At 46.0% G+C, this 26,837-nt stretch overlaps 2 protein-coding genes across 10 annotated transcripts in view; both read right to left on the minus strand.

Moving 5' to 3' along the window:
• Positions 1 to 9,738, minus strand: part of FBXW10B (F-box and WD repeat domain containing 10B) — a 54,223-nt gene extending 44,485 nt beyond the window's left edge. For both annotated transcript variants that reach the window (NM_001282540.2, NM_006382.4), the window contains exons 1-5: positions 9,042 to 9,738; positions 5,679 to 5,843; positions 3,867 to 4,067; positions 3,649 to 3,776; positions 2,735 to 2,857 (exon numbers count right to left, since the gene is read on the minus strand). In NM_001282540.2, coding sequence (NP_001269469.1) covers positions 2,735 to 2,857; positions 3,649 to 3,776; positions 3,867 to 4,067; positions 5,679 to 5,843; positions 9,042 to 9,546 — 1,122 coding nt within the window. In that variant the 5' untranslated portion in view covers positions 9,547 to 9,738. The remainder of the gene's footprint in view (positions 1 to 2,734; positions 2,858 to 3,648; positions 3,777 to 3,866; positions 4,068 to 5,678; positions 5,844 to 9,041) is intronic.
• Positions 9,739 to 17,999: 8,261 nt separating this feature from the next.
• The window catches only part of TRIM16 (tripartite motif containing 16), a 56,346-nt gene continuing 47,508 nt past the window's right edge, over positions 18,000 to 26,837 (minus strand). For all 8 annotated transcript variants that reach the window (NM_001348121.1, NM_001348122.1, NM_001348120.1 and 5 more), the window contains 4 exons: positions 26,070 to 26,303; positions 22,543 to 22,708; positions 21,653 to 21,748; positions 18,000 to 19,232 (listed from right to left, as the gene is read on the minus strand). In NM_001348121.1, coding sequence (NP_001335050.1) covers positions 18,649 to 19,232; positions 21,653 to 21,748; positions 22,543 to 22,708; positions 26,070 to 26,303 — 1,080 coding nt within the window. In that variant the 3' untranslated portion in view covers positions 18,000 to 18,648. The remainder of the gene's footprint in view (positions 19,233 to 21,652; positions 21,749 to 22,542; positions 22,709 to 26,069; positions 26,304 to 26,837) is intronic.

The raw sequence follows: 26,837 nt of genomic DNA on the forward strand, positions 1-26,837 counted from the left end.
TTTTCTGCCTCAGCCTCCCGGGTAGCTGGGATTATAGGCATGCACCACCATGCCTGGCTAATTTTCTATATTTTTAGTAGAGACAGGGTTTTGTCATGTTGGCCAGGCTGGCCTTGAACTCCTGACCTCAGGTGATCCACCTGCCTCAGCCTCCCAAAGTGCTGGGATTACAGGCATGAGCCACTGCGCCTGGCCCCTTTTCTTAAATTACACATGTAAGAATTAAAGAAAGAGGAGAGAAAGGCGAAGGGTGGCTTGACAGTCAACAGGTTTATTTCAAATCTGGGAGGGAATTCTGACCGAGTTACATCAGAAGCCGCACTCTCTTACAGACTAAGAGTCTTTAAGGATTCAGGGTGGGAGAGTTTATCAGATGCTTGGACTGCTTCTGTGTCTCTTTGTTGTGCTTATCTGGGAGGGAGAGTTGTGTGTCTGTCCCCATACATCTTTCTGCAGCTGCAGGCATACCCCCAAGTCTGCTTTAGCTTCACTATCTTAGTGCACTTGAATGGAAAGGAATGTGCTCATGATGGCCCACTGTTTTACTTGGGCCCACTGTATGAGGGTGAAGTTTGGTAGTTACCCAAGAGACTTTCCCCCCACATCCCTCTGTGCCCTAGATGTCTTATCTGTGTTTTACTGTCTGTTCTTTCTGGCTGCTTGTAGTTAGAAGAGATTTCCTTGAAATTCATGAGACTAGAAAGGGACCTGGAACTTAAAGTGGCGGTGTTTGTCCAAGATGACAGTACAATTCTGTCAATACAGTCCAGTTCTGTCAAAACTTCCTAGAATGTCAAACACTGGCTGGGTAGTCCTTCTGTTGGGCCATTACTGACTGTATCACCCAAGGAAGAAGGGTGTTCTTTGTGTTATACTTAAAACAGCAACAGACTTGAAAACAAAAGCAGGTCCACGTTCAAATGAATACCTCTTTCACTCAGCTGGCTGGGAGAGCTTGACCTCTCTGCGCCTCAGTTTCTTTATCTATAAAATGGGTGAAGGGACCAGCTCAGAAATGAAAAACTGCAGGTCAAAGGAAATCCAGAAATGTGTTTTCTTTTTTTTTTTTTTTTTTGAGATGGAATCTCACTCTGTCACCCAGGCTGGAGTGCAGAGGCGCAATCTCGGCTCACTGCAAGCTCCGCCTCCCGGGTTCACACCATTCTCCTGCCTCAGCCTCCCGAGTAGATGGGACTAGAGGCACTGCCACCATGCCTGGCTAATTTTTTGTATTTTTAGTAGAGACAGGGTTTCACTATGTTGGCCAGGCTGGTTTCAAACTCCTGACCTCGTGATCCGCCCGCCTCGGCCTCCCAAAGTGCTGGGATTACAGGCGTGAGCCGCTGCACCTGGCCCAGAAATGTGTTTTCTTTGGCCTATGTAGTTTTTAAAACTGCTTTTAAATGGTTGCCAGCATTTAATAAAAGCAAGAGATTTCACATAATACCTCAGGTTTCTATCTTCCAAGACTTAGATGGTCTAGCGGTCAGGGGCCTCAAGACAATCTCTCAAGACAATAATTAGCCAGAACTGATGAGCAGCTGGCCCTTCAGATGCAGGTGAACTGTCCAGTCCATGACAGCCACACCGTCCGCTACTCCCCACACCACCCGTCTCCTCCTTTGTGTCACCTGCCTGGCCCCTACAGGTCATATGAACTAGATGCTCTCTCTGGATGCTTCTGTTTCTCAAATTCTAATTTAACATAGCTGCCTTATGGGAAGCGACAGTCAAACCATCCCTCATCAACTATCCTTTTGGGGCCAATTAAATAGACTTCAAAATAGACTTTAAGCAGGTGGGGGGGCGCAGAAATCTAATGGTTTTAGGAATATCAACCATGCCTTGATAGTCAAAGCAAAGAGCTCGAAGAGTCTTCCGGTCACTCTTCATTATTGCCCAAGAACTAGTGGAAAGGGCTATATTTAATTAACTTTCCCCTTCCATCCTAGAGCCAGAGTAAACCTGAAAGTGAGGGATGAGGGAGCCAAATTCATCTAGGCCCTAGGCATTCTGGAACCAGCCCTGGCCCTCCCCTCGGGTCCTCCTCAAATTCCTGAGCAGCAGATGCTGGATCCTCCAGAGGCATGGGCTGATGGGGTTGCTCCTGGCCTCTGAACTTGCCACTAAATGACCTGGTGCCATGGACACAAAACACGGCCAGGGGCTTTGAAGTAAGGAAGAACCCTGAGAAGACAACCAAATCAATCCACCCATCCAACACATGAGTAAAGCAAGGCTTAAGAAGAGGAAGTGTCGGGCTGGGCGCGGTGGCTCACGCCTGTAATCCCAGCACTTTGGGAGGCCGAGGCGGGCGGATCACAAGGTCAGGAGATCAAGACCATCGGGGCTAACACGGTGAAACCCCGCCTCTACTAAAAAAAAAAAATACAAAAAATTAGCCGGGCTTGGTGGCGGGCTCCTGTAGTCCCAGCTACTCAGGAGGCTGAGGCAGGAGAATGGCGTGAACCCGGGAGGCGGAGCTTGCAGTGAGCCAAGACTGTGCCACTGCACTCCAGCCTGGGTGACATAGTGAGACTCCATCTCATTTAAAAAAAAAAAAGAGGAAGTGTCTTGCAAGTCAGTAGCAACACAGAACTCTCGTCTTCCTTAAGGAGTGTCACCTGCCGTGATCCTCTGTCCTCACTCCAGGGCTGAGTCTGGACCTCAGCCTTCAATGGCAATTAGAATGAGACGCTCACAGCTACTTGCCCCAGATGCTGTTGGAACCCACCTTCGTTCTCAACTTCCACTTCGGATGTTTCACACGCATGCTCTTCCCGTCATCTACCATTTTAGGAACTGGGATAGAAACCTTATTGGCATAATTAGGATCAATTCCTCTTGTATAGGACCCCTGGAAAAACAAAAAAAAACCAAAAATAAAAACAGAAAATGGCTTCTCTTGGCTCCAACTCTGCAGGAGGAAGGGAAAAACTAGTTCTTGGCAAAATCTGAAGGATGGGTAAGCCCTGGCTGCAGCAGGCAGGCCCACTTCTGGCCAGTTCCTCTGGCAGTGTGTGCAGATCGAATGGAGGAGAAAAATAAACACCAAATGCCACAGGGGGACCAGCAAAGATGGTCAGACTGTCGCCAGCCTCACCATAGCTGCTGCTTCTCATCCTCTGTCCTCTCTGCTGGGGAAAAAAAAAAAATCCAAGTTACCAAAATCCATGGTTTAGGGTGAGACTTCTGGCAAGAAACTGAGAAGTAAAAATGCTGGAGAAGACTGCCATTGGGGAAAATTTCATTTTAACTTAAAAAAATACTTTGCAGCCTTATAAACATCTGTGCTCCATATGAGGTTGATGCAGAGACACATTTATGGCTTTCTTGCTGCATAAGCTGCAATATAACTCCCTGGGGGCTGGGGGTTCTCTGCTTTGTGAGGTGTTGGAAAGGCTCTGTCTCTCTGCTCCTGAGCGGTCTCTATCCCTATTGTCCTTGTGACATGCACTGACAATGAAAGAGTACTCAGTTATTAACAGGAGTTTGGACCAAAAAGAAGGGACCCAGGAAGCCTAAAAGGCCACAAATGTAGAGGAGGAGGCCAGCTAAGGGTTTACTGAAAGGTCCACAGTCATATCAGCCTCAACACGAAAATGAAGCTGGTCTCAGACATTCCCCTTTCAGACTTGCAGGAAGTACCTGCAAGAAGGTAATCTGGTTCTGAATGAAGCCGTGCGCTGACAAGTCCATCTTGACCTGTTGAGCCATGGCGGCCCAGTGCTGGCTCACAGAGGCGCACTTGTTCAGGGTGTGTCTATCCAGCATTCCTGGAAAAAAAAAAAAGATGGACCCAGAAACCCCAGAACTGGGCCAAGAGGGGAGGTGTCTGGGAAATCCCCTCATACACCCCAGCATACTTAGAATGTACTTGGAGAGGTGGATGGGCAGGTAACGGATGAAGTCTCGGTATTTGCTGAACCCAGAAGACAGGTCTCTGATGTCATCCAGGTCAACCAATAGATTGCAGGGATCGTACCCTGGCTTGGTTATGTCTGCTTTTCCAGAAAACAGCCTATTCATTTCGGATATACACCGGAGTGAATTCCTCCATGGTTCCTCTAGAGTGAAGCCGGAGAAAGGTACGTGGTTGAGTTGGCTCTGTAGAAACTCCAGGCCGAGAACAAGTCCCCACCAAAAGCTCTCCCACAAAATAAACCTCCTCAGACTCTAACCTTAGGCCACTAGATTTTTGTCATCTCTTCTGCCACTTGAGAATAGAATCTTTTTTTTTGAGACGGAGTCTCGCTCTGTCGCCCAGGTTGGAGTGTAGTGGCGCGATCTCGGCTCACTGCAAGCTCTGCCTCCCGGGTTCACGCCATTCTCCTGCCTCAGCCTCCTGAGTAGCTGGGACTACAGGCGCCCGCCACCACGCCCGACTAATTTTTTGTATTTTTTTTTTTAGTAGAGGCGGGGTTTCACCGTGTTAGCCAGGATGGTCTCGATCTCCTGACCGTGTGATCCGCCCGCCTCAGCCTGCCAAAGTGCTGGGATTACAGGCGTGAGGCACTGCACCCGGCCGAGAATAGAATCTTTTGACCCAAATATACATGTGCTTTTCAGCTTTTTCAGCCCAAGGAGAAGTCTAGAGTATCAGAGTCTGAAATGATATTGTGCCTGGAATTTTCTTAAAAATACTCCAACAAGAAAAAATTTTAAACAACTTAAGAAAGGGGGGAAAATGAATGGAATAAAATTGGTAAAGTGTTGATAATTGTTGAAGCCAGTGCTATGTGGGTGGGTGGTTATCATACTGTTCTACATACTTTTGAAATTTGAAATTTTCCATATAAAAGTGTTTTAGAATCTATGCCTTGTATTTCCTACGATATTGTGTTTCCGATGATATTTCATGTATATGTCTTGCTTCAGTTCCCAACTTAGGAGTGCCTTGAGGTGGGGAACCAAATTCCCCATTAGTTTTGTTCCCTCCTCAAGACTGAATCCAATACTGCAAAAATAGCCATTGGTGGGTTTAATTCTAGAGCTGGCCACCATGCCAGAGCCCAGGGACTAGATGATGGATTGTGGCCCAGAGCAGAGAAAGACTCCAAAGGAAATCATTGATAGTTTCCTTTCTGATCTCTATTTTCAGATGTGTCTTGTGGGCACTGCAGCGGAGAGGTGCAAATATGGGTTTGGGGGCCATATTGATCAATTTAATCCTTGCTCCTCCCCTTACCAGCTGTGAGAATTAGATGGGAAAGTAATGTCAAAGAGCCCAGCACATTGTAGATGCTAAATGAATGTGAGTTCCTCAAATCTGCCATCCCCAGATGCTATCACCCTGCCAGCCCCTCCAGTTCCACTGGGTCTTCCCAATCTCACATTGGTTGCATATTGGCTTTCTTTTTTTTTTTTTTTTTTTTGAGACAGTCTCGCTCTGTTGCCCAGGCTGGAGTGCAGTGGCATGATCTCGGCTCACTGCAAGCTCTGCCTCCCGGCTTCACGCCCTTCTGCTGCCTCAGTAGCTGGGACTACAGGTGCCTGCCACTGCGCCCGGCTAATTTTTTTGTATTTTTAGTAGAGACGGGGTTTCACCATGTTAGCCAGGATGGTCTCGATCTCCTGACCTCATGATCTGCTTGCCTCGGCCTCCCAAAGTGCTGGGATTACAGGCGTGAGCCACCGCACCTAGCCCATATTGGCTTTCTTGCTGAAAGTTCACTTACCAGGGTTAGATGCTGCCCCAAGGAAGTGTTCATTTTCTGGGGCTTTGGACAAAGGAAGGGATGTGTGCTGAGTTTTGGCTGTCCAATAGACTTGTGAGGTCGCAGACTTGGAGCTGTGGTCTTTCTCAGGGGAAAAACACACATCTGTGATGTCTTGATTGAGCCCTGAAACACAGAAGACCAAGACAAGGTTGCTCTTGAAGTGGGTGTGTTGAGGAAAATGAGGTGGAGAGAAACTTTTTCATTTTTTCTTCCTTCTTTTAAAGATGTACAGAATGGACCAGAGCAGTTATGTCTGTTTTTATTTGGGGCCTCCAAACTTCTATGCAAAAATCTCAGAAAGCTTCCTGTTAGCTTTTCAGCACGCCCCCATTGTAAAATGTCTCGAGTTGTTTATACAAGCAGAGAGAGAGAGTCGAGGTCAGGAACTGCAACAGGGAATGCTCTTCGGAAGCTCAAGCTGAATTTTCTTCAATGATAGAAATAACCACCCTCGAGTCAAAATAGAACATTTAACTTTTTTTTGGTTTGTTTGTTTTTGGTTTTTGAGACTGAGTTTTGCTCTTATTGCCCAGGGTGGAGTGCAATGGCTCGGTCTTGGCTCACTGCAACCTCCGTCTCCTGGGTTCAAGTGATTCTCCTGCCTCAGCCTCCCAAGTAGCTGGGATTACAAGTGCATGACACCTGGCTATTTTTTGTATTTTTAGTACAGATGGGGTTTCGCCATGTTGGCCAGGCTGGTCTCGAACTCCTGACTCCAGGTGATCCACCCGCCTCGGCCTCCAAATGTGCTGGGATTACAAGCGTGAGCCACTGCGCCCAACCAGAACATTTAATTTTTTAAGAGAGAGTCTGCTCTAAGAAAAGAGAAGGTTGTTGGTCCGGCGTGATGGCTCATGCCTGTAATCCCAGCACTCTGGGAGGCTGAGGCAGGCGGATCACAAGGTCAGGAGATGGAGACCATCCTGGCTAACACGGTGAAACCCCGTCTCTATTAGAAATACAAAAAAAATTAGCCGGGCGTGGTGGTGGCAGGCACCTGTAGTCCCAGCTACTCAGGAGGCTGAGGCAGGAGAATGGCGTGAACCCGGGAGGCGGAGCTTGCAGCAGTGAGCCAAGATCAGGCCACTGCACTCCAGCCTGGGCAACAGAGTGAGACTCTGTCTCAAAAAAAAAAAAAAAAAAAAAAAGAAGAAGGTTGCCACAACCTGTAATAGGACTTAACACAACTCCAGTGTAAATAGCCCATTCCTATGGTGAATGGGATGAAGTTTTGGAAGAGCACTGCGGAGCATTGCATCTGTGTGTACAAGCCAGGCCTTCTGCTGCTGGCAGCACTCACTCCAGAGTGGAAGGGGCCCAGGAGGGGATCGTGGTTTTCAGCCCACGTGGTGGGTGACCTAAGCAAAGTCATTCAGATGCCCTGGACTTTGGTCTCCTTATGTAAATATTAAGGATATTAAGTCGGTTGATCTCCAATCTAACTTACTGTTTTTGACACCCTAGGATTCACTGTGTCTTCATTCTATATTATCATTCTTCCATACCCCTGACACACCAAATAAATCAAGTGACATATATTGTGATCTAATTGTGTCCTAGGCCATCCAGCTTTAAAATTCTTTTGGATTCCACTAGTCTACAAATATGACCACCTGTCAGGTCGCACTGGTGACAGGAATTACACACCTTCAAGAGCTAAAACTCCAAAACGCCTCCATGTGACCACCCCCTCCCAGCTTTCTCCCACCTCTGCTTAAATCTGAGCTTCCCCATGTTGGACCTTCCACTCCTGGACCCCTCCAAGGCTCAATTCTCTTGCCTCCTGATACAGTTTGGATATTTGTCCCCTCCAAATCTCATGTTGAAATGTGACCCCCAATGCTGGAAGTGAGGTTTGATGGGAGGTTTTTGGGTCATGGGGGCAGATTCCTCATGAATGGCTTGGTGCCCTTCCCACAGTAATGAGTGAGTTCTCGCTCTATTAATATAGTTCGAGCAAGAGCTGGCTGTTTAAAAGAAACTGACACCCCTCCCCTTCTCTTGCTACTTCTCTTGCCTCACGATACGTTGATTTCCCTTGCATTCCACCATAAGTGGAAGCTTTCTGAAGCCCTCACCAGAAAGAGATGCTGGTGCCATGCTTCTGGTACAGTCTTCAGAACTGTGAGCCAAATAAAACTCTTTTCCTTAGAAATTTCCTTATAAATTACTTAGCCTCAGGTATTCCTTTATACCAAGGCAAAACAGACACCACCCTTATTGTTTCTTCTGCTTCCCTGAACTATCTGGCCAAACACTTCCAAGATTCTCCAACACCCTAGGCCTGTGATTCTCAAAGACAGATCCCCAGTCCAGCAACATCAGCACTAGCTGGAAACTTGTTAGAAATACAGAATCCCTGGTTGAGTGCAGTGGCTCACGCCTGTAATCCCAGCACTTTGGGAGGCCGAGGCAGGCGGATCACGAGGTCAGGAGTCCGAGACCAGCCTGGCCAGCATGGTGAAACCCCGTCTCTACCAAAAAATACAAAAAAATTAGGACATGGTGGCACGCACCTGTAGTCCCAGCTACTTGGGAGGCTGAGGCAGGAGAATTGCTTGAACCCAGCAGGTGGAGGTTTCAGTGAGCCAAGATCGCACCACTGCACTCCAGCCTGGGTGACAGCGAGACTCCATCTCAAAAAAAAAAGAAAAGGAATACAGAATCCTGGGCCCACCTCAGACCTGCTGAGTCTGAAGTTCTGGGGGAGGAGCTTGTTTTAACAGGTCCTGCTGGAGATCCTGATACAAGCCACAGCTGGAGAACTACCACCCTAGACTTATTTGGCCCTTAAGCTATCTCCAGCCTTGGAGAAACTCTACTTTAAGGTTTCATTTCATGGATAAGCAAGGAGCATGGTAGAGTGAATGAAAAAAAAAAAAAGCCCTAAGTTTTGACTTCTTGGTCTGGTTTCTGTGCAGGGCAGCTGAAGAGAAAAACAAAAGCTTCCCCTTTACAACCCTCTCAAGCTCAGTCCAATCCCTAAAGCAGGAACGACACCAGCATTAAGGGGTCAGGGGCAGGGACCAGCCATTTCTGGGCCTATGAAATGCAGAAATCTATGATAAATGCTTGTGAGTTAAAAGTTGTGTACTTCCTCCTGCATTGATCATTTTCAAGAAGGAAGTTACACTCAGTCATTTCTCCTTTGGTAAACAGGATCGGGTGTCAGGACGAGGTGTCAGTTCAAAAAACCTATGCTGCATTCTGTGCAATCTCTGTCTACCTATGTTGTCTACAACTGCAGTTCCTTACAGATTTCTGAAGCCTTGCCTTCTGGTCTTCGGGGGCCCTCTAGTCTCTGCCTGTGGCCTTGTTTACCTGAGATATTGTTCTCCTCTCTCAGAAACAGGACTCTGATCACATTGGCAGCAGTGAGCAGTAATTTGGGGTTGCACATCTGCAGCAGTAAGAGAGTATAATTCGCCTTGGTCCACTGGGTGCTGTTCGCAAACCAATACAAGATCTCTTTCATCTTCTGTTCTACTGTTTTATCCAACATTTGGTTCAAGGAGGACTTCACAACTTTCCCCTCTTTCTTGCTGAGGTCGATCCGGGACCTGTTATAGATGAAATCCTTTCCCTGTGTGGTCTGAAGGATATTTTGGAAATAGTGTAACAAATATAAGCTATTTAACTGCTTCAGAATGCCAACTAGAAACCTCCTCTGTGATATGTCATTGATCCTGCAGAACCACTCTTTGGTAGAGAAGATCTTCCAGGCTAAGACACGCGTCTCACACTTCCGGCATAGAGGGATGGAATCGGTTCCCTTCTCACAACGAAAATAGGGGGCATTCTTGAGCCTTGATTCCAGGTTTTCCATGATCCTAAGATAACCAGTTCATTTTAGCCCTGCGCACTTGCAACGGCAACGCCACCAAACACTAGAGGAACGGGGGGAAATGAATAAATACCCCAGTTGTGCCTTTTCTATTACAAACGTCTCCCAGAGCAAAAGTAAATGGCTGCCATGGATGGAAAGCCTATCTCTCTCAGTAACTGCCAGCAGAAGTCTGGCTTTTTGTACAGACCTCCTTGGAAACATGGCTTTACCGTAAATCTCCTAAACCTGGCACTGCTTTATGTGGAGGCAGTTGCTGTATATTCTGAAAGAGCTGGTCATCTCATTTCTAGAACAACAAGAATACTGTTAGTCAAATTTAAGTAATATGTGGACTATTACTGGTGTTGCGCTTTAATTATTGTTGTTATATATGGCTTCTGAATATTCATGAATATAAAATAAGATGCAAACTTCTTATGTTTATATCTGTTCAGTTACAAAGTGGCTATCCCAATGATGCTAAATATGTTTATATTCATTTTCTTAAGTCATCATCAAAGTAAAACCAGAAATGTTTAATGTAAATTTAAGTTATTTAACTGCTTCACAATACTAACCAGAAATCTCACTGTAGTCAAAGTGCCCAGGCAAAACATATTGGGCAGCTCACAGAAAGAGTTTCAAAGTCATGCTGAGATAATTCTCCTACTTCAGGTAAGACTCGGTTCAAACATTGACTCTGGTACTTAGGAGCTATATGGTCTTGAGCAAGCAACCTGTCCTCTCTGAGCCTCAGTGTCTCCATCCTAGTTATGAGGATGGAGAAGATAAAGGTGGGTAATAAAAATGATAACTACCTTCTAGGATTGCATTAAATATATGAGATCAGTTGTTGCTGCTATTGTTACTAAGTATTATTACCCTAGATAAAATCAAAAGGTTTACAATATTGTGTGCCTTTCTAATGCCCATGTTGAAAGATCAGGCACAACCAGAGAAAGGTAATGGAGTCCATCGCTGGGGTTTTGTTGGCAATGGCAGTCACATACTAGGGTCAGAATGGGGAATAGGAATCAGGTTAAGAATGAGATCAGTTCTCACAGCTCAACCTCTTCTGTCTGAAGAGGAATCTGGAGAAAAGGCATGAGTAGATTAATATTTAATTAATCGGGAAGGCCAGACAAAGGAGGGTGGCAAAGAGAAGGGAGGCCCGAAGCAGACTCTTTGGATCTGTAAGGCGGGCACATTACCCTAAGAAGTGCTGCAAGTTAAAAGTAGCTCTTTTTTTTTTTTCGTAATTAACTTGTTTATTTATAATTGACAGATTATAAATAGCTTGTTTTTAAAGATTTAAATAAATTAGGATTTTATCTATGAGGCTGACATTCTTCAAGGAAGCATTTTTTTTTTTTTTTTTTTTTTTTTGGAGGCAGAGTCTTGCTCTATCCCCCAGGCTGGAGGGCAGTGGTGGCATCTCGGCTCACTGCAACCTCTGCTTCCCGGGTTAAAGTGATTCTCCTGCCTCAGCCTCCCGAGTAGCTGGGATTACAGGCATGGGCCACCATGCCCAGCTGAGTTTTATATTTTTAGTAGAGACGAGGTTTTGCCATGTTGGCCAGGCTGGTCTTAAACTCCTGACCTCAAGTGATCCGCCCGCCTCAGCCTCCCAAAGTGCTGGGATTACAGCGTGAGCCACCACCCCAGGCCAAGGAAGCAGTTTTAATCACCCAACTCAGTCTTTATTTCACATTTCAGGGCTACAAACTTGGGAGTCAGAGAGAGAGACTAGGTTTCAGACATGAGTCGTATCCCCTCTCCCTCAACACTGCACACACACGGTTCTCCTCAAACACCTGTGGACCATAGTATGTTGTTGCCCCTCGGCACCTCCTTTTCTAAACAGCTTCTTTGAGAAGATGACAATGGGCTGCCTCCTGAGAATAGAGGGACAAGGGGTGCTCCAGAGCAAGTGAGTGCGAGAGGGCAGCGCCTCACTCCCTTCCTCCCTGCCTCCTGCTGGCCTGCACCTTTCAGAGGTTGGGCCATACACCCGACTTTGGGGGGAAGTTGAAGCCATTTGGGATCTGATGTTACAGTTAAAAATGTGGCCTTAGGCCAGGCGCAGTGGCTCATGCCTGTAATCCCAGCACTTTGGGAGGCTGAGGCAGGCGGATCACGAGGTCAGGAGATCGAGACCATCCTGGCTAACACGGTGAAACCCCGTCTCTACTAAAAAAAAAATACAAAAAATTAGCCGGGTGTGGTGGCGGGCGCCTGTAGTTCCAGCTACTCGGGAGGCTGAGGCAGGAGAATTGCGTGAACCCAGGAGGCGGAGCTTGCAATGAGCGGAGATGTGCCACTGCACTCCAGCCTGGGCGAGAGAGCGAGACTGTCTCAAAAAAAAAAAAAAATGTGGCCTTGGCACAGGGCAGGATAGATGGGCCAGATGGGATAGGCCAATGCAGGGACATGGCGCCAGTGGTACTCAAACAGGCAGGTGGGCAAATAGGCCTCATCAGACCGACTCACAGGAGTCCAGTGGGGGAGAGCACTTCTCCGAGGAAGGCTATAGGATGCGAAGGACATCTGCGACCTCTCAAGTATTCAGGCTACGAGCAGCCTGGAGGCTTCGTGCCAGTCCCCTATCTTTCCTTTCCGCCCTGTTTTATTCATGATCCCGATAAAACCTCCTCAGCACACAACCCTAAATCTGCACTTGCTTTTCCTGCCTTCCCACATAGTATGGAGAAGCTTGGAAGGTGCGGCCGCTGCTGGGCCAGATAGAGGACAATGTGTCACACCCATCCGGCTCTGATGTCACACTTGACACTGCACCAGAGGACCTGAGCCTCTGCTGGCTCCAGCCCAGCCCCTTTGCCTTCCCCTACTGCCACCTGGCCTGGCCAGCCAGCAGGGACTCGGGAAAGCACACAGGTTTCAGAGTAGGAGGGCAAGGAATGAACTGGGCTCTGCCACGGAGCAGCTTCATATGCCTGAATAATTCACTTGCTAGTCTCAGCCTGCTCCTCTTCCATGAAGTAGAGACCACGGTCCTACCTAGCTCATAGGTGGCTGTCGGGGTCAAATGAGTAGACTTTTACACCATGTGAGGAGCTAACAAGTATTATTAGTATCATTAGGGAGTGTGGAAAAAGTGTGATATCTCATCTCTCGCCTTCCCATCATGTGGTATTACACTGGTTGGAAGTTGAATTTTAAAAAGCTTGGCCGGGCGCGGTGGTTCACGCTTGTAATCCCAGCACTTTGGGAGGCCGAGGTGGGCGGCTCATGAGGTCAGGAGATCGAGACCATCCTGGCTAACATGGTGAAACCCCGTCTCTACTAAAAAATACAAAAAATTAGCTGGGCGTGGTGGTGGGTGCCTGTAGTCCCAGCTACTCGGGAGGCTGAGGCAGGAGAATGGCGAGAACCCGGGAGGCGGAGCTTGCAGTGAGCCGAGACAGCGCCACTGCACTCCAGCCTAGGCGACAGAGTGAGACTCCATCTCAAAAAAAAAAGAAAAAAAAATTTAAAAAGCTTTTGTTCATGAGAAACCAGAGCATGCACATATATACACACTTTCTTTCAGGTGATCATCAGGGTCACTACTTAAGTTATTAATGTGGGGGAAAGGTTTTTCACCTAAAATGACTGACCACTGCTATATTGACCCTTGGTCCTTATGAAATGATCTGTTCTCCCTCCTTTTCCAGTACTTGGACTACTTCCTTCTGGGAGACAGTGGGATTTTCCCAACAAGACTACAGAGCAAGCCAGAAATAGAGATTAAAAACTAGGCACATTCCAGCAAGGCAGGGATGGCCAACACTCTACCCGAGCCATGCACAGTCTGTGCCCTGCATGGACATATTGGGGGCATATCAACAGCAGGTTGCCCTGCAAGGGCCTCCTCCCCAGCTGCCAAGATGTCTAATCACAGGTGCAGAGGGAGGGAGTCGGTGCTGAAATCTGAGGAAGCCAGGAGAAGCAGGAAATACATGCACTACCTTTTCTTCCATCTTTCATCTGGGGCTGGAGTGGTGGCCCCTGGAATGGAGGCAGTGGCTGCAGAGATGGGGGGAAACCAGGGAGTAGGTCACTCAAGGACACAAGACAGAAGCCAGTCCCTAAAGATGGCCTGCGAAAACGCAGCAGCACCCTAGGACACAGAGTGAGAAACCTGTTTTATACATCACCTTGTCTATTATTCTCTTGAAGAGCAGATTCCTATTTAGCTCTTCACATATGAACAGTTTTACTTCAGTTTAAATCCCCTTCTTGTGATCAAATGACACAGCTAGTTAGTTTCTGGGTTACTCTTTCTTAGCGTCTAGCACAGCAGCTTGCACATTATAAGTGCCACGTATATTTAGACTACTTAATTTAGGGACATCATTCCAAAAACATGCTGAGCCAGACTGAGGGGATAAGAGCTCTGTGATTGGGCCAATCCCGTTATGTCATCATTTCATCATGCCTCTTGGGAGAAAGTGGGAATTTACTTATAATTCATAAGATACTCAGAAAGGAATGCTATATACACTCAGATTTCAAAAAGTTGAGACAAGAATAAATTATGGACATGGTGGTTAAAATTACATTCTGACTCTGCAATTACAAATGGTCTGGTAATGGAGCAGAACCATGTGGCACCAAAGTGAGCTCTTGGTGAATTCAGATTTTTGTTCAGTGTTTTTTTTGTTTTTTTTTTTTGTAAGTCTACATAATGGAAGAAAAGATAAGGATGGGTGAATACAAAAGAGTGGCATACACACAGCTAAGGAAAATGCCAGAGAATATAAAATAAACCCTTGTTCTATTTTTTTTTCTATTTGTTTTAGTCATTTTTCAGTTTTTAGACCAAGAAAAAGAAAAAAGATGTGCCCACTGCTTGAGGCAGTGACAGAAGGCAAATATGCCCAACTCTTTTTTTTTTTGAGACGGAGTCTTGCTCTGTCACCCAGGCTGGAGTGCAGTCGTGCAGTCTCGGCTCACTGCAACCTCTGCCTCTGGGTTCATGCAATTCTCCTGCCTCAGCCTCCTGAGTAGCTGGGATTACAGGCACACACCACCATGCCCAGCTAATTTTTTTCTATTTTCAGTAGAGATGGAGTTTCACCATGTTGGTCAGGCTGCTCTCGAACTCCTGACCTGATGATCCGCCCGCCTTGGCCTCCCAAAGTGCTGGGATTACAGGCATGGCCTCCCAAAGTGCTGGGATTACAGGCATGAGCCACCGCGCCCGGCCCAAATATGCCCAACTCTTAATTCTGCTTTGCTCTTTCATATCAAGAAGAAAGGTCTTGAACTTGAAAGCTAATAGACAAAAAGTTAACAGGAAAATGAAGTTCAAGACAAGTAAAGAGACACCTAAATGGTTCCTTTTATATAAGCTCAAGTATTCTGGTCTAAGTAAATTACATTTCAGGAATCTGACACAACTTAATGACATGACTGCAAATCAGGTGGGAATCTTTGAGAAACTAGGGAGAATGAGAGAGGACGGTGTCTTAGTCCCATTGTGTTGCTATAAAGGAATACCTGAAGCTGGGTAATTTATGAAGAAAAGAAATTGATTTGTCTCATGGTTATGCAGGCTATACAAGAAGCATGGTGTCGTCATGGCCATTCATGAGGGATCCAACCCATTATCCAAACACCTCCCACCCAGCTCCACCTCCAACATGGGAGATCAAATTTCTGCATAAGATTTGGAGGGGACAAATATCCAAATTGTATCGAATGCAGACAGGCATCTCGATTTTTTTAAAAATAAAAATAAGATAGATTCTGGAAACAACAGACTGGTAAACATGGTATTAACCCACAGCAGAAATCTAAAGTGGTTTATCAAATATTTTGTGAACATTTAGAAAAGAAAATGACCATGACCAAGCACCAACAACCCGCAGGGATTCAATAAAATAAGGCAGTCCAAGCTGATCTCAATTTGTCTTGAGCTCATTATTAGACAGATAGATCAAAGAAGTTCAGACATAGCATATCTTTTTTTTTTTTTTTTCTTGCTCTGTCGCCCCGGCTGGAGTGCAGTGGCACGATCTCAGCTCACTTCAACCTCCACCTCCTGGGTTCAAGCAATTTTCCAGCCTCAGCCTTCTGAGTAGCTGGGATCGCAGGCACGTGTCACCATGGCCGGCTAATTTTTGTATTTTTAGTAGAGTCAGGGTTTCACCATGTTGGCCAGGCTGGTGTCGAACTTCTGACTTCAGGTAATCCTCCTGCCTCAGCGTCCCAAAGTGCTGGGATTACAGGCATGAGCCCCCACACCCAGCCTAAACATAGTATATCTTGATTTCTGCCACTGAAAATGTCTTTCATCATGTTCAGTGGATAAAGGTGAAAAAGGTGGGGCTACATTATTGCACAGTTCCACCCGTGCATAATTTGCATGTAATTAAACCTAGAAGCTACTGACTGAGTGCCACAAGATTCTAGATTTGGTCCTAATCTCCTCGATATATTTATCAACAAGGATAAGACTTAAGAAGAAAGGGTTATGGCCGGGCGGGGTGGCTCACGCCTGTAATCCCAGCACTTTGGGAGGCCGAGACAGGCAGATCACAAGGTCAGGAGATTGAGACCATCCTGGTTAACACGGTGAAACCCCGCCTCTACTAAAAATACAAAAAATTAGCCGGGCGTGGTGGTGGGCGCCTGTAGTCCCAGCTACTCGGGAAGCTGAGGCAGGAGAATGGTGTGAACCCAGGAGGCGGAGCTTGCAGTGAGCCGAGATCGTGCCATTGCACTCCAGCCTGGGGGACAAAGCGAGACTCCGTCTCAAAAAAAAGAAGGGTTACCAATTGTGCAGGTGACACTAAGCTAGGAAGGAGAGCCAATATACTGGATAAGGAATCATGAATCTCAAGTATCTCAGCATAAAGCAATGATGTGATGAAATTAAAGTAAAATCATTTTAAATCCTATACTGTAAACATCCTTAGATACAAATATAGGTAACAAGTCAAGTTATGCTAAAGTAATATACTCTTGAGACAGGCCAATCAGACTGATTGGAGAAAAAAAGATTTGCCTTGACAAAGGTCACAGGAACAGACTCAAAATTTATATTTCTGGTGAATCCCACCAGAAACTTCAGGTTATAGCTTCAGAAACCCATTTAAAGACAGTTTGCCATTTGCCTAAAGACTTGATGAATGCTGATGATTAATCTTAGGAAGCTTATCTGTCAAAAGAAGAATGAAATAATCAGGGGGAAAGGACTGAGAACCATAAAGGAAGGTGGAAAATTTCATATGAAAACAAGAACACCTGGGGCGTGGGTATTACGTGACAGTTCTTAAAAGAACCATTCTTTGAATGAGAAATCAGACAAGTCCACATATTCCAGGTTACTTTAGAGGAGAGGAGTAGGGCCCCTTTCCAGAGGTCACAGGGACTAAAACTCAGACACTGTTAAGACATTTCTTCTAATCCTTGCTGTCCCCAAATAGAAAGGACTGCTGTGTGAGGCAGTGAGGCAGTGAGCTAGTGCAAGGCAGGATGGCTGAGTCAGATGTTGTGTGTGGATTTGCAAACTTCAAGAAGTTTCTCTGCTATGCATTTTATTGCCTTTTATACAATGTCCATGATCTAATAAGGAAGGTGGCCGGGTGCGGTGGCTCACGCCTGTAATCCCAGGACTTTGGGAGGCCGAGGCGGGTGGATCACGAGGTCAGGAGATCGAGATCATTCTGGCTAACACAGTGAAACCCCGTCTCTACTAAAAATACAAAAAATTAGCCAGGCTTGGTGACGGGTGCCTGTAGTCCCAGCTACTCGGGAGGCTGAGGCAGGAGAATGGTGTGAACCTGGGAGGCGGAGCTTGCAGTGAGCCGAGATTGTGCCACTGCACTCCAGCCTGCGCAACAGAGCGAGACTCCGTCTCAAAAAAAAAAAAAATAAAATAAAATAAAATAAAGGAAGGCAATATGATGTGGTGGTTAAAAGTCCAGTGTCGGCCGGGGGCGGTGGCTCACGCCTGTAATCCCAGCACTTTGGGAGGCCGAGGCGGGCGGATCACGAGGTCAGGAGATCGAGACCATCCTGGCTAACACGGTGAAACCCCGTCTCTACTAAAAATACAAAAAATTAGCCGGGCGTGGTAGCGGGCGCCTGTAGTCCCAGCTACTCGGGAGGCTGAGGCAGGAGAATGGTGTGAACCTGGGAGGCGGAGCTTGCAGTGAGCCGAGATCGCGCCACTGCACTCCAGCCTGGGCGACAGAGCGAGACTCCGTCTCAAAAAAAAAAAAAAAAAAAAAAAGTCCAGTGTCATTCTACCCACACTTGAATCCCAGCTCTGCCCCTCACTCACCATGTGACCAGAGTGACCTTGAACAAATTAGCTAACTGCCCCGGACCGCAGTTTCTCCATCTGCAAAATAAGGATGATATAAGCATCTACCCAATGGGTGTTCTGTGAGGACTGAGTTAATGTGCAGGAAGCATAAGAACGGTATCTGGCACATAGGAAATACGCAAGTTAGCAATTTATTATGATAACTCTGCAATCTTTTCAGCCACTCTTTAAGGTTCCTGGTCATCCATTCTGGGCACAGTGTGACATTTACCTGAACAGAGAGGAGAATGGCACTAGAAGATGAGGGAGATTTGGTGCCTAAAAATTACTACAAACAGGCAGGGCGCAGTGGCTCACGCATGTAATCCCAGCACTTTGGGAGGCCGAGGTGGGTGCATCACGAGGTCAGGAGTTTGAGATCTGCCTGGCCAACATGGTGAAACCCCATCTCTACTAAAAATACAAAACATTAGCTGGGTGTGGTGGCAGGCACCTGTAATCCCAGCTACTCGGGAGGCTGAGGCAGGAGAATTGCTTGAACTCGGGAGGCGGAGCTTGCAGTGAGCCAAGATCGCGCCACTGCTCTCCAGCCTGGGCAACAGTGCGAGACTCCGTCTCAAAAAAAAAAAAAAGAATTACTGCAAACACATAGAGAACAGCACCATATGGAGCAAAAGAGAGCAGCTGGAGAATGTTTTCATTCAGAGACCCCATAGGATTTCAAAAGCCAGCTACCATCAGCAGTTATTTCTGCCCCCAAATCACCCTAAAATGCAAATCCCATCACTGTAGCTGGCAAAGGTCTGGGATATGGCTCCTGGAGTCTAGGGAGCAGTCCCCACCAAGGACGGTGCTGGCTTCTCGGGTTCCTCTCCCAGATCTACAATCCGGATGGCGTTTTCCTTCTTGGAAAGCCAGAAGGCAGCATAGACTGGTTCTGAAAATTTGCAGGCAAACTTGTGAACCAGAGTCATGGTATCATACTCTACGCCATAGAAGGAAAGGATCCCTCCCGGGAAGTCGATATAGACCCCGAGCCTCCGGAAAGGGCCAGCTTTGAGTGGGGTCTCCATGTCACTGTACCAGGCCGTGAACTCCTTCCCGTTCCATTGGAGGCTCCAGGAGAAGTTGTTTCCGGAAATGCAACTGTTGCGCTCCTCCCCTTTCCGGTCGATGCCTTTGCAGGTCAGGCCAACATAGGTGCCTGCCCCGAAGATCTCCACCTCAAAATAGTACCTGTGCAGGTACAGACTCTGCTGGGACAGCACCTGCCGCCAGTGCAGGAACCTGCTGGGGAGGTCCGGGTAGGGATGCTCCCAGGGCGTGGTGTTGGTGACCTTGCGGTTCTCCTCCTGCAGCCGGAGATACTTGTGTGCTGTGTCCGGGTCAAACGTGATGTCATACGCATCTGAGGAGACACAGAAGGCAGGAGAGTGGTTCAGGAACTGACAGCTGATTCAGACAGAATGCTTTAAACCCAGCTGGGCTCCAAAGCACATATGAGAAAACATCCATTTCTCTGTTCTCTATTTACCCAGGCTGCTGTTTCCCTAGGAAATGAGGTGAGTGAAGACCAGAAAACAGAGAGCACAAATCATCTACTCCCTTCCCTTATGAAGCTCAAGTTGCTTGACATTGATGATATTATTTGATGAACCGAATCAAGAAATATATTAATTTACTCATTCATGCATTCATTCATTCATTCAACAAACATGTATTGAATGCCTGGCATTATCCTACCCAGTGTTGGCAAGTGTTTGGGGAAGCAGGTACTCCTATACCCATATTTGATCCATTCATTCATTTTTTAAAATATTTGACCAACATCTTAAAAATGAATGAATGGATCAAATGGAGCATGAAGAACTCTCAAACACGCCCTCATATTCTCCTCCCACTCCCAAAGAATAATAGGGTCTCATGCACCCCATTGCTCAAGTCAAGCTCTATGTCATTTCTGACATTTGTTTTGCCCTCATCCTCTTCCCCTATCCTCACTACACACACAGGAAGCAGTAACTCCTACGGATTCTACCACTTCTCTCCAGCCCCCTGCTTTACCCCCGACCTAAGCCACCACTCATCTCACTCAGACTAGTTCAGCGGGTTTCTGACTGGTCGTTCGCTGTTCTCTCTTGCCCCCTTCAAGACCTTCTCCACAACAGAGCCATGCTGCTTGTTTCCAGCTGTAGGCTGAGGCCAGTCGTGTTATTCTAGCTTAAAACCCTTTCATGGTGTCCCTTGCTCTTATGATAAAGCAGCAACCCCTTGCCCTGGCCTACCAGGCCCCACGTCCCTGGTCCTTTCCTGTGTCTCTGACTCTCTCCCTTGATTACTACATTTCCACCGTGCTGACCTCAGACCTACTCAACACTCAATCCTCTTTGAGCCTTTGGTACAGCCTGTTCCCTCCGAGATGTGATCACGCCCTACTCTGAGTCTGGTGAATCCTACCGATCCATTCAGGCTACAACTGAGAGTTCATGTCCTCGAAGAGGCCCTTTGTGACTCTAACTCACTCTCTCCCAGAGCACCATGGTGTTTTAAACTTGGCACCCCTCTCCATTTGTAATAATATATATTCATGTGAGTGTTTGTTTCCTGCTTGTCCTCCCTCTAATCTATCAGCTTCACATTTTGCATGGGATTCTTCTCTAACTCAGAGAAGATGCTCAGTATATACTTGCCAAATGAATTAGCATATTAAAGGCTATTAAAACAATCCCATAATTAAAAAAGTTCTCACTGGTGCAGAGGCTTATGCCAACACTTTGGGAAGCTGAGATGGGAGAATCACTTGAGGCCAATAGTTTGAGACCAGCCTGGGCAACACAGCAAGGCTCCATCTCTACAATTGTTTAAAAATTTTTTTTTTAATTAGCCAGATGTGGTGGCATGCGCCTGTGGTCCCAGCTACTCAGGAGACTGAGGGAGGAGGACTGCTTGAGTGTGGGAGGTCAAGCCTGCAGTGAGCCATGATCAAGCCACTGTACCCCAGTCTGGGCAACAGAGACCCTGTCTCAAAAAATATACATACATACATATATATATGTCTACATGTATATATATGTAAACATACAAAATATGTGTTTAGTGACTGTTTATGTCAATTAACAGAAGGCTATTACTAGTTAAGTTCTTGAGGAATCAAAAGCTACACGTGGATGTTCAACAATACGAGGGATTGGTATCCCAACCCCTACATTGTTCAAGGGTCAACTGTGCAGTGTTTTAAAAATGCTAATGGACCAAGTCAATAACACTTAATGATAGGTCAATGAGTTATGCAATTCTGGCCAAGTCATACATAGAAATGAATCACTTGGTAACTAGCCAGGACTCTTCAAAGTGCTATGGTCATGAAACACAAGGATTGAAAGACTGATCCAGACTGAAGGAGACTAAGAAGACATGGAAACATCTGTGACCTTGGATTGGACTTTGGGCCAGAAAAAAAGGGCATTGATGAAAGACTTGGTGAAAGCTGAATAAATTCTGTAGATTAGTTGATAGCATTGTAGCAATGTTATTCCCTGGTTTTCATCAATGTATTGTAGTTATGTAATGTGTTAACATTAGGAGAAACTGAGTGAAAGATATATGGGAATTCTTTGTCTTAGTTCTGTAATATTTTTGTAAGTTTCATATTATTTCAAAATGAAAAGTTAAAAAAATTGTTTAAATTAAATTTTAAGAAATGTATCATTTAGAGATAGATATGAAGTTGCAAGAACCTGAAACCTAGATGAGAGATGGCGGTTCTGACTTAGCAAAGCACTGCACTGATATCAACAACTGGAGAAGCGGGTGCCGTTCACAACTTACATTGGAGGAACTGTTCCCTGGTGCTGGGCTCAGGTTTGGAAGTCCAATATTTGCGCTGAACAACGGCAGACACTTGAGTTCTGATGTCATACTCCTCTAGAAAATCAAGAGAGTTGTGAATGCACACCTGTCCAGGTGGTCAGGAGAATCTGCAAATCAGGACTTCCCAGCCACCCTTCCCTGGGCTTCCTGGGGAAAGAAGGGGCTGAAGCCTGGTAATGTTTCACAGAAATACGCTCAATAGACTACATTTCTTTCATAGGTAAGGCATAAACCACTGAAAAAGTGATCCAGACCATCTTGGATTTAACTTAAAAGTATAGGCATCAGCAACCTGGGAAGCTAGTCACAGAAATGCCAGCCGATCGCATAATATAAGCATGACTAATTGTCCTTCTTTGGGTCTCAATTGTAAAAGAAAATCATCGAGATGAGAGTCCATTAGTAACATACCCTGTCTGAAGCATGGCTTTGAAAATGAGACATTTGACTGGGCACGGTGGCTCACACCTGTAATCCCAGCACTTTGGGAGGCTGAGGTGGGCAGATCATTTGAGGTCAGGAGTTCGAGACCAGCCTGACCAACATGGTGAAACCCCGTCTCTACTAAAAATACAAAAATTAGCCAGGTGCCTGTAATCTCAGCTACTAGGGAGGCTGAGGAAGAAGAATCTCTTGAACCCGGGAGGCAGAGGTTGCAGTGAGCTGAGATTGCGCCATTGCACTCCAGCCTGGGTGACAGAGCAAGACTGTCTCACAGAAAAAGAAAAAAAAAAGAAAATGAAACATTCCCCTGATTTCATCCTCCCTTCCCTGACTCTCTCTCACCTTCCTATCATCTACTGCTAGAGACACACTCACTATAGTCCATGGCCCAGAATGCGTCTCACCTTCCTTGGAAAACTCCTGGAGCTTTTTCTTATAGTTCTCCAGCAACTGGATTAAGTGTACAGTGGATTCCGTGATAACTTTGCGGATGCCCGAGAGTTTATCCTTCAGCCCTACGTAAACACTAGGGAAGGTGATGTCTTCAGTGTTCTTAAACTTGCAGTACTCCTGCAGAAAAGGAAACAGCAGAACTTGCTGTGGTTTCTGTATTTCTAAACTCGGGCTTCTCTCCTCATTAAGTCACTTTTTGCATCTGTAAAATGGGCTGACGGTAATGTGTCCTTCACAAAGAAAGTACATGTGAAGTGTCAAGCTCAGGGTCTAACAAAATAGAAAGCACTTCTCTAGCTGCTAGACCCTCAGAATAAGTGGGATTTTAAAAAAAACAAGTGAGAACATGGGATTTTAAAAATCAAGATGTACTAGATGGCCATGAACAGCTCCAATACACAGTCCAGACTGGGGACCAAAAAATAAAGAACATTCTTGCTTTGTTCATTCCGTCAGTACTTGTTTTTTGACAATTTAAACACAAGCCATGGTAGAAAATGGAGGAGCTCTCAGGCAGGAGTGCTGCCTCTTCCTTGTCAGTTTCATCCAATGCATAAATTTCTGTAATTCTTGTACCTTGCTTTAGTATTTGGAAAGTGTTTTCACACTGATAATCACATAGTTTCATGTAAGTTTTGAAATAACGTGTGATCAGGAAAGATGCTTTCAGATATAACACAGTATCAAACTTCAGCTGCAACTGAAGCATTAAAAAGCAGACCAGGTACAGCAGAAAACATAGCAATGAAAACAGTTGTATGAAAATGATTAGATAGAGCCATGGAAATCAAAACCAGAGAATTGATAGAGAAAAGGGTAATTCAACATTTTAATGCTATATACTGTACATGACAAAAGTAGCATTTTAAATCAGTGGGAGAAAGGATAAGTTATTCGGATAAGTTATTCAATAAATCTTGTTTTGAATGCCTAACCAAAAATTTGGGGGAAAACGTTATCTTTTGCCAAAATAAATAAATATCTTTTTTTTTTTTTTTTTGAGACATAGTCTTGCTTTGTCACCCAGGCTGGAGTGCAATGGCGCAATCTCGGCTCACTGCAACCTCTTGCCTGCTAGGTTCAAGCGATTCTCCTGCCTCAGCCTCCCAAGTGGCTGGGACTACAGGTGTGCACCACCATGCCTGGCTAATTTTTTTTATTTTTAGTAGAGACAGGGTTTCACCATGTTGGTCAGGCTGGTCTCAAACTCCTGACCTCATGATCTGCCGGCCATGGCCTCCCAAAGTGCTGGGATTACAGGTGTGAGCCACCGTGCCCGGCCAATAAATAAGTTATCATACACTAGAATTTATTTTATATGTGTTAAAGTCTTTTATGTTAAAAATAAACTTACAGGCTGGGTGCAGTGGCTCATGCCTGCAATCCCAGCACTTTGGGGGGCCGAGGTGGGTGGATCACGAGGTCAGGAGTTCGAGACCAGCCTGGCCAAGATGGTGAAACCCCATCTCTACTAAAAATAAAAAAAATTTGGCCAGGCACGGTGGCTCATGCCTGTAATCCCAGCACTTTGTGGGGCCGAGGCGGGTGGATCACGAGGTCAGGAGATCGAGACCATTCTGGCTAACACGGTGAAACCCCATCTCTACTAAAAATACAAAAAATTAGCCGGGCGCGGTGGCGGGCGCCTGTAGTCCCAGCTACTTGGAAGGCTGAGGCAGGAGAATGGCGTGAACCCAGGAGGTGGAGCTTTCAGTGAGCCAAGATCGTGCCATTGCACTCTGGCCTGGGCGAAAAGAGCAAGACTCCGTCTCGAAAAAACAAAAAAAATTGGCCGGGCGCGGTGGCTCACTCCTGTAATCGCAACACTTTGGGAGGCCGAGGCGGGCAGATCACCTAAGGTTGGGAGTTCAAGACCAGCCTGACCAACACGGAGAAACCCCGTCTCTACTAAAAATACAAAAAATTAGCCGGGCATGGTGGCCCATGCTTGTAATCCCAGCTACTCAGGAGGCTGAGGCAGGAGAATCGCTTGAACCCGGGAGGTGGAGCTTGCAGTGAGCAGAGATCGTGCCATTGCACTCCAGCCTGGGCAACAAGAGTGAAACTCAGTCTCAAAAAAAAAAAAAAACAAATAAAAATAAAAATTAGCCAGGTGTGGTGGCGGGTGCCTGTAATCCCAGCTACTCGGGAGGCTGAGGCAGAGAATTGCTTGAATCCGGGAGGCGGAGGTTGCAGTGAGCCGAGATCGTGCCACTGCACTCCAGCCTGGGTGACAGAGCAAGACTCCATCTCAAAAAACAACACACACACACAAAAATAAATAAAGTTACAAAACGAGAAAAGAGAAATAATTTATATACTCTTTGGGTAGATCTTAAGGGAAACTTGTGAGGCGGGAAGCCAAATGGTTATTAAATGGTTATTCATATTTTCTTCGTGTTTTGATACTGAAAAGCAAAGAAACTGACAGACGCTTTGTTGGTGTTTTTGTCTGTCTTTCTCTTTTACTCATTCAAAAGTTAACTATGTTGTACTTGTGTAAGGATTATGGATTTTTTTTCTTCTTTTTTTGTACTTTCCAAGTTTTTCACAATAAACATTTGTTTTTTGTAACTAGCAGAGAATTTTTTCAAAAATGCAAGCAAGAAAAAATTGTATTTCAGAATATCAGAGCTTGGATGGAGCCTTCTGAATTATTTACTCCAGTGGGCTTGTTGATAAATGAGAAATTTGAGACTCAGGGATGTGAAGAGCTGTTAACAGAGCTGTTTTCTGACAGATTCAGGATGTTGCAGTTTACCCCCAACCTAGTGTTCCTTCCTCGAAAGGTTACATGTTCTTTAGATCTCGTTCCAATGGCTTACGGTTTGATGTCTAATGATACATTGTAATGAAAAGCATTTCCTGGTTCCAACTGCTTACCTTTAATGTCTAATGATACATTGTAATGAAAAGCATTTGCTCTTCTGAGCCCTCCTCAATTACTCCAGCCACAGCCCTCTCTGAAAAGCAGCAGGCTCCAGTCTCATCCCTACCAAGCAAACCTCCATGCAGTGGACTGCTGGAGCGGTTTATAAAACATACTCACTGACTCCATCATTCTCCCATCTGAAACCCTTCCCAGCCATACACCTGCCTGGCCGTGCCAGTCTCATCACTCTGCACCCAGTACCCCAGGCTCCACCCCTATTAAAGTACCTTGGCTCCCCAAATCAGCTGTGCTTCCTCAAACCTCTCTGCCTTTGCATATGTTGTTCCCTCTACCTGGAACATACTGCACGTTGAACCTGACTCATCTTCCGGGACCTGCTTCAAGCTTCCCTGCTCTGAGCAGTTCTCCCTCCCTACCCCTCCTATACTCTGCTGAATGAAGAATCTGCTTCTCTCTGTTCCCACTGCTCCCTGTGCACACCATTTAACAAAAAACAGTTCCATTCACAGATGGCCATGGGCCTAGCAAAGAGAGGGTGCTTCATGGGGCAGCTGTGGGATGCCTCTGCCCCCGCAACCCCCATACCTCCAAGAACTGGACAGTGTTGCTGATGGCCGCCATCCTCTCCAGCTCCTGCTTGCTCTTCTCCATCTCGGCACTCCTGTACTCCAGGTGGGCCTTGATACCGTTGGCCTGGCTCAGCGCAGCTTGCTCCTTCTCCTCTAAGAAGAGCATCACATTGGCCTGGGCCTTCCTCACAGCAGCAAGGAGTTCCCCAAACTGCATTTCAGCCACCGCTTTGACCTCTGACACCGACACCTGGCAGGGGGTGGGGGTGGAAGGCAGCCAAACATTTCTTAGTGAGGCATCCAACTTGATAGAAACTCAACATACAGAAATGTCAGCTTGAGAAACACATATATTAGGGAGCAGTTCCCTATTGTAAAAGGAATCCTTTATTCTCATGTGAATTCCAGGTTCCTGGAAAAAGGATTTACGTATTAACTTGGTCTCCTCATCCATTTGATGAGAGAGTGAATTCCTCTATGACCTCTGAGATCCCTCACAACTCTGACACTCCGGGATTGTTAGTCAAGTTTCCGAAATTGATTTTCCTACCAGAGCAATGTGTGTATTCAGTCTACTTGATAGTCATATTTCAAGAGGTAAAGAATTTGGCTTTTTTTTTTTTTTTTTGTATAATCAGCATGAATTAGCTTTCTTAGCATTTCATTATGCCCGGTTAAACTGACCACTGAGTCCATCAGAGCCAAATGCATGTCTAAGATGATACTGTCTCTACCACATACAGAATCCCCATAAAATGTTTAGGGTGCAGACGACCATGGCACC

The sequence above is a fragment of the Homo sapiens genome, chromosome 17 (assembly GCF_000001405.40).
Source record: "Homo sapiens chromosome 17, GRCh38.p14 Primary Assembly".
Classification (NCBI taxonomy): domain Eukaryota; kingdom Metazoa; phylum Chordata; class Mammalia; order Primates; family Hominidae; genus Homo; species Homo sapiens.